At 52.9% G+C, this 7,607-nt stretch overlaps 1 annotated feature.

Annotated features, from left to right (window-relative positions):
• Positions 2,284 to 2,446: a silencer, noted in NCBI's record as "fragment chr16:29276626-29276788 (GRCh37/hg19 assembly coordinates)". NCBI's record gives its function as "represses an EF-1alpha promoter that drives an FKBP-Casp9 reporter gene in an ReSE screen in HepG2 liver carcinoma cells {active_cell/tissue: HepG2}" and the evidence as "EXISTENCE:reporter gene assay evidence [ECO:0000049][PMID:32094911]".

Raw genomic sequence — 7,607 nt, forward strand, 5'->3', positions numbered from 1 at the left:
GAGTTAAGTTATTATCTGATCACCTGGACTCAATAGAAAGGAGTGTCTGGATTAAGATAAGGGGCTGTGGAGACCAAAGTTCTTATTCTGTAGAAGAAATCTCATAGGGGGCTGCCCTTCGAGGCAATAGATGGCAAATGTCTCCTATTGAGACCTTTGAAATGTGCTAGACGCTAAGCCCATCTCTCCAGCATCAGAAAAAGCCCTGGAAAGGGAAGAGGATTCTCTACAGAATGTGGATTTTCCCCACAAGAGACAGCTTTGCGGGGCCGTTTAAAATTATGTCAAACACTCTATTCCTTCCAGGACCTGCTCCCTGTCATGTGATGTTATACTAGACTCGGGTTGGAATTTGGTGTCTTATTGCTACAAACAGCCTGTGCTGTCAGTCTTAAACTCTCGGTTTTAATGTGAGTGCTGGTCAGCTGGGCCTGAATTCCATAGGGAGGGGGGTATAAAGAGACGTGTCCGACCCCCACTTCCCATCACAGCCTGAACTTGTTTTTTAGGTTTACTTTGGAATCCTCTTGGCTGAGAAGAGGGTTCCATTCAGTTGGTTGGGGAGCTTAGAGTTTTATTTTTGGGCTGGGCACGGTATCTCACGCCTGTAATCCCAGCACTTTGGGAGGCCGAGGCAGGTGGATCACCTGAGGTCAGGAGTTCAAGACCAGCCTGGCCAGCGTGGCAAAACCCCATCTCTACTAAAAATACAAAAATTAGCCAGGCGTGGTGGTGGGTGCCTGTAAGCTCAGCTACTCGGGAGGCTGAGGCAAGAGAATCGCTTGAACCTGGGAGGCGGAGGTTGCTGTGAGCCGAGCTAGTGCCACTGTAGACACAGCGAGACTCTGTCTCAAAAAAAAAAAAAATTATTTTTGGTTCACAGACTTAAAAGAATCAGTGCTCTGCCAAGCAAGCCAGCATCCCTCTAATTTTTTCTTAATTAATAAACTATTTTTAAGAGCAGCTTTAGGTTTCAGAAAATAGAACAGATAACAATTACCATATCCCTTCTCTCCATCCTCCCTTGCCCTCCAGTTCCACTACTGAGAACATTCTGTGGGTGCTGACAGATGAATCATGGCACACGATCCCCATTACAGTATCACAGAGCAGCTTCCTGGGCCCCTAAATCCTCCATGCTCCTGCCACGCACCCTCCCTGCCCTCCTTGCTCCTGCCATGCACCCTCCCTGCCCTCCGTGCTCCTGCCACTCACCCTCCCTGCCCTCTGTGCTCCTGCCACTCACCCTCCCTGCCCTCCGTGCTCCTGCCATGCACCCTCCCTGCCCTCCTTGCTCCTGCCACTCACCCTTCCTGCACTCTGTGCTCCTGCCAGTCACCCTCTGCCCAGCCCCGGCAGCTGCTGATCTTTCTTGTTTTCATGGTTTTGCCTTTTCCTGAATGTCATGGAGTTGGAATCACACAGTATCCAGCCTTTTCCAATGGGCTTCTTCACCTAGCAGCATCTAAGATTCCTCCCTGCCTTTTCACAGCCTGGCAGTTCCTTTCTTTTTAGCACTGAAAAATATTCCATTGTCTGGAGGGACCCCAGCTTATCCGTTCACCTATGAAGGTATCTTGGTTTCTCCTAAGTTTCTGGAGATGATGAAATCCACCCTCTAATTTTCACCTGTTTCTCTGTGCTCCGCCCCTCCCAACTGGGAGCTCTGACAGGGAGGGGGATGCCCACGCTGCCATGTGGCCCGCAGCACCCACTCACCCTGTGTCTGCTGAACTGCATGGTAGGGAACAGAAGGGAGGCTGGAAGTTCCCCGTGGGAAGGGAGAGAGGAATGAGCCCTTTTGTCCCTCTGTCGGGTGGAGAGCCGCACAAGTGACACACAGGGGTCCCTCCCTGATGCTGCTGGGAAGGAGGCAGGAGGAAGGGATGTCCCAAAGTGGGGCGCACAGACCCTAGATAGATAGACCCTAGATAGACCCTAAATAGACCCTAGATAGACCCTAAATAGATAGATCCTAGATACATAGACCCCAGATAGACTCTAGATAGACCCGAGGTAGACTGCCCGGGTCTGTCCAGGCCAACTTGAGGGCTTCCCTTAGGAGGCAACTGTCCAGGTCCTCTCTGGGTTGGAGACTGGGGTTTGCCAATCACCACTTAATTTAAACTCTTTAAAATGTATATATCTGAGAACATTCAGGACCAGAAGGCAGTGAAGTTGATAGCTTCCTATCAACCCTCTTAAAACCATGGAGATCCCAGCCTTCTCTGCAGGGAAGGGGGCAGAGCCCGGAGCCTGACCCTGGGGCAGCCATGCCCTGTGATAATCCACCAGAGCCCAGGAGCCCACTGTCCTTGTTGAGAAGAGCAGGCGCCTCTGCTTTGTAGTGGAATCACTGCATACAGAACATGCTTCTGAAAGTTCCTGCCCCTCAGCCCTGTGGAGATCCGGCCTCCCTCCCTCCATGGCCTTGGCTGTCTGCCCGGCTTCAGGAGATACAGTCCAGCCTCCTTGGTGACTGTGTGAGGCTGGGTGAGTCACTGCCCCCTTTCTGACCTTGTCTGATTCATGGTAAAACGGGCTATGAGTAACTGGTTTAATCTTGCACATGAACTGGGATTGACTGGTAATGGCTGTCTGGAGTCTGGGTCTAGCTCTGTGTAGATTAGACATGTCTGCCATGGTGCGGGTGAGGGAGGTGGGGTTGTGCCGAAGTCTCTGCCATCGGCTATTCTCTGGGGTTTTTCTACTGGTCCTACTCGTTTTTGTTCATTTTACAATCCAGAGTTGTGAGTTGGGTAGATCAGCTGGGAAAAAATGGAAAAGTAGTTGTTTTAATTATTTCCCCTTTATGTGGTTAAAAAGAAGATGAAGAAGATTCTTTAAGTTCTAGCATTGACTGTTGAAAGCCACTTGTATAAAAGGTGCCAAGAACTACAGGATTCTTTCATCTACTGCTTTGCTTCAGGTGAGACTTGGAATATGATGGGATCAGGAATGGGTCTGAGTGCGAATTTTCATGATGGTCTCTTTTTTTTTTTTTTTTTGAGACGGAGTCTCGCTCTGTCACCAGGCTGGGGTGCAGTGGCATGATCTCGGCTCACTGCAAGCTCCGCCTCCCAGGTTCACGCCATTCTCCTGCCTCAGCCTCCCGAGTAGCTGGGACTACAGGCACTTGCCACCACGCCCAGCTTATTTTTTTTTTGTATATACATATATATATATATTTTTTTTTTTAGTAGAGACAGGGTTTCACCGTGTTAGCCAGGATGGTCTCAATCTCCTGACCTCGTGATCCACCCGCCTCGGCCTCCCAAAGTGCTAGGATTACAGGTGTGAGCCACCATGCCTGGCTAACAATCACTGTGGTCTCTTAATGACAGTGTTATCTTGCATGCCCAGAAATTTACATTATTTCCAGCTTGAAATTGCCCAGCTAGGTAGGTATTACAATCTGATGGTGGAAAAGCTCAGGCAGACCTGCCCAGGCCCCATTGGCGGTGGAGGGGCTGCTGCTCTGGCCTGTGCTCGGGGCCATCGATCCTCCTGCCCAGAGAAGAGCCAAACACCCATGCCCATTGGTGACTGACCCTGAGCCGGCGATGCTGGCTGCCTATGATGATTTAAGGGGGTGATTCTCAAAGCCTGCTCTGTCCTGCCAGCCCCAATCAGCAGTGGGAGGTGCTCCCGGTCATTTCTGGAGGTCAGGATGTGTCTTCTCACACGGGTTTCTTTCACTTAGCCACAGTGTGGCCTGACCTTCAGAAGTGAGTCACTTGAGGAGGAGTGGGAGGAAGTCCAGTCATTCCTCTAATAATCGTGTGATGGGGGAAGAGAGAGAGATTTGGAGGGAGGGAAGGAGAGAGGCAGAGAAAGAGCATGTTGGGAGAGAGGCCACAGCTAGCAGCTGACAGTTGCCCAGGGCTGCGTGGGGAGGCTGACCTTTCTGTATGGGATCGGTCACGGGCATGCTGACCGCCTGGCCTCAACACTGTGCCCACCAGGTGCAAGAATTGAAAAGGGAATGTACTAATATGCAGAACGTGGGGTCCACAGAGACGCAGATGCATCAACCAGAGAGCGAGAGAAGCGTCTCTGGAGCTGGGATAGGCCACTGTGTAAGATGCAAGGCTGGAGAGTGGGTATCTGCCAACCCCAGAGCCCTCAACATAGGGGAAATTAACCGCTCCAGGCGGAAGGCAACTTAGGGACGTTTTTGGAGACAGGCACATCACCACTGTCACCTGCAGCCACGGGCAACCGTGAGTTGGTTTGAAGGATGGTTGAAAAGAAAAGCCCCTTGTGCTGGAAAAGTCCTTCCCAGCCCACTTCCCCACCCCTGCTGACGCCAGGGACCCTCAGTGTGCCCCAGGCCGCACCGCCAGCCCTCTCTCAGTGGGGGTAAGAGACACACAAGCTGCCTGCCACCGAGGCCCACCCCAGGGGCTGGGCAGAAACCCCATCTTCCTGCAGGCCCTGGCTGCCAGGAGGGCCACCCACACCATGTCAGACGCTGCCTGGCAGGGCTCTGCCATTGTCCCTGCTTGGTCACGGAGCAGCATGGGTTAAAAGTGCTATTGTTAGGCCAGGCGCAGTGGCTCACGCCTGTAATCCCAGGACTTGGGAGGCTGAGGCGGGCAGATCACTTGAGGTCAGGAGTTTGAGACCAGCCTGAGCAACATGACAAAACCCTGTCTCTACTAAAATTAGCTAAGCGTCATGGCACGCACCTGTAATCCCAGCTACCCAGGAGGTTGAGGCAGGTGAATTGCTTGAACTCGGGAGGTGGAGGTTGCAGTGAGCCAAGATCACGCCACTGCACTCTAGCCTGGGCGGCAGGGTGAGACTCCCTCTAAAAAAAAAAAAAAAGCCCTATTGTCACATGAAAAGTTTATTTGTTGGGGACCTGTAAGGCTCAAGAGAATGAACCCAGACTTGGTGGCAGCTCTGTTGGTGGCTGAGCTCTAGGGACAGTGCCCTCACTGGGGTGGGCTCAGGTGTCACCAGGGCCCAGGCGACAACTGGGGAGCCAGCACTGAACCAGACACGGTGGTTGTCCCTCCCTTGCACTCATGACAGGCTCAGGGTCCTGGCAGGCACTTGCAGAGCCCACTGGCAGGGAGTGTTGACATCTGGTCCCCAGCCATCCCGATCACACCACTGATGTCATCACCTTGTACCCCTGGGATGCTCCATGGCCTCTCCACCATGCACACTGGAACATGGGGAGAAGGATGCCGTGTCTGAGGTGGTATGAGATGACAAGGAGCATGCTTGGGGCCGGTGGAACAACGTGCTCCCAGCTGCCCCTGCCCTTCAGGGTGAGGGACCTGCTCCAGCAAGTTCAGGGCCCCGTGGAGACTCAGCCTGGAGAGGAGAGGCTCAAGGGCTCCTCCCGGAGTTCTGGGAATGTGTGGGAGTTGGAGGCACCCTGCGGCTAGAAGGCACTGTTTCCCGCTGCTGTGCAGACAGGACGGGAGGAAGGGGGTTCATGCCGTACCCAGGGGATTTGGCGAGACAGTTAAAGGCTGAGCAAGGAGCTCATGAGGCTTTGGTGGGGCTGGCATGGGTCCCCCAACCCTGGAAGTCGCAGAGAGCACCACCTGCAGGTGGCCCAAGCCATCCTTCAGGAAAGGCACTCAGAGCCCGGCACTCTGCAACCGGCTCTAGTGGTCAAGGGTGAGGAGCCTGGAGCCCCACGCTGGGCCCGAAGGTTCAAGGGCTTCTCATCAGCGGCTTCTCATCCGTCTCACCCTGGTCTGCGGCTTCTTCTCTAAATGCATTTTCAAAATTCAAAATGCATTCAAAATTCTTCAACAATGCATTTCCGCACAGCTCTGGAGGCCAGAGTCCAAGTCAGGGTGCCGGCAAGGCTGGCTCTTCTGAGGCCTCTCCCTGGCTTGTCGAGGCCGCCTTCTCCCTGTGACCTCACATGGCCATCCCTCTGTGCATCTATGTCCTAATCTTCTCCTAGAAGGACACCAGGCAGATTGGACTGGGGCCCACCCAGATGACCTCATGCTACCTTAGTCACCTCTCTAAGCCTGTCTCCAAATACAGTCACATTCTTAGGCCCTGGGGGTTAGGACTTCTACATGTGCACTTTGGGAGGACCTAGTTCTGCCCAGAGCAGATGGGAGGGAGCTCCAGCCTGACCACCGCCCCCTTTCCCAGGCAGGGTCTTAGGCAGCAGCGGGTTGAGGGTCAGCCTGGTTCCCACAGCAAGGATGCTAGCCATTGCCTGAAAGCATGAGGCATCTCCGGCACATGGGGCTTGGCACTGTCTCTAAAGCCCAGGGTGTTTACACATTCCTGTCATGGAGGGGAAAACCCAAGGAGCAGCAGCCTGGAGCACGCATTCACCCCTGCCTGCCGGGGCTTCGGAAGGAGCTAGCTGGGAAACCATGAGTCAAGGAAAATCCTTTATGGAATGAACAAAAACAAAAGGAACAGAAGCCTTTGACTCAGCTCACCGAACCCCACAGGGAGACACTGACGCGGTGGGGAATGTCTACCCGCCTTGTGTCCCCAAACTCACTGCTGGCCAGCCCTGGTATTCTGCATCCCCTGGGTCCACTTTCTGCTGCTTTATCATCACTGCTCATGACAGGGCTCAGCAAATGGCTCACGAGGCTGGAAGACAGTGAATTGTCCTTGGCTGGTGGCCAGCTCATAAGCTCCTCACGTGACCACCATAGAGTGGCACCCACCTGAGATAGTCAGTGTTGGTCCATTGGTCACCAGTGCTGAGAGATCCATTTACAGCCTGACAGCACTCACTCTAAGCCTGCTCAGTCATGGATGCCTGTCCCACTGAGCTCTTCCATGGTCATACCAGTAGGATCCAGTCCCTGTCTACAAGAGGGTTCTGGCCACAGTTGGGATATAAGATGTACCCACCCCTTCTGGAAGTTTCCTCAGATTCTCCAGGCACAGAGCGTCCATCAGTTGTGTTCACATTTGACACTTGTCCCCTCCTCTGTAGTCATCTGCTGATGGACCTCCCCAAGACTGCATTTCTCAAAGACAAGTGAACTTGGGTTCCCAGGCGAGCAGAGGGAGTAGAGCATCTCCTTCAACCCCATGGTCCCTGCATGTACATTAGCAGGTGGCCCAGAGGAGATGCCTCCTCTGTGCTGTTTGGATGGATTGGTGGGTGGGTGGATGGGTAGATGGATGGGTAGATGGGTGGACAGATGGGTGGATGGATGGATAAATGGGTGGATGGGTGGATAGATGGGTGGATGGAAGGGTGGATGAATAGATGGATGGATGCAAGGATGAGTGGATGGATGGATGCATGCATGGATGGATGCATGGATGGATGGATGGATGGATAAAGGAATTGGTGGGTGAATAGATGAATAGGTGGATGCATTGATGGAAGGATGGATGGGTGCATGGATGGATGGTTGGATGCATGGGTGGATGAGTGGATAGGTGAACTGATGGAGACTGGCTGGATGCATATATATATATATATATATATATATATATATATAAAAATGTATGTGTGGATGGATGGATGAGTCAATGGGTGAATGGATGGATGTACATATGGGTGAGTGCATGGATCATGGGTGGATGGGTGAATGGATGGATGGATAGGTAGATGGCTGAATGGGTGGGTGGGTGGATGGATGGAT

This window comes from Homo sapiens, chromosome 16 (assembly GCF_000001405.40).
Source record: "Homo sapiens chromosome 16, GRCh38.p14 Primary Assembly".
Classification (NCBI taxonomy): domain Eukaryota; kingdom Metazoa; phylum Chordata; class Mammalia; order Primates; family Hominidae; genus Homo; species Homo sapiens.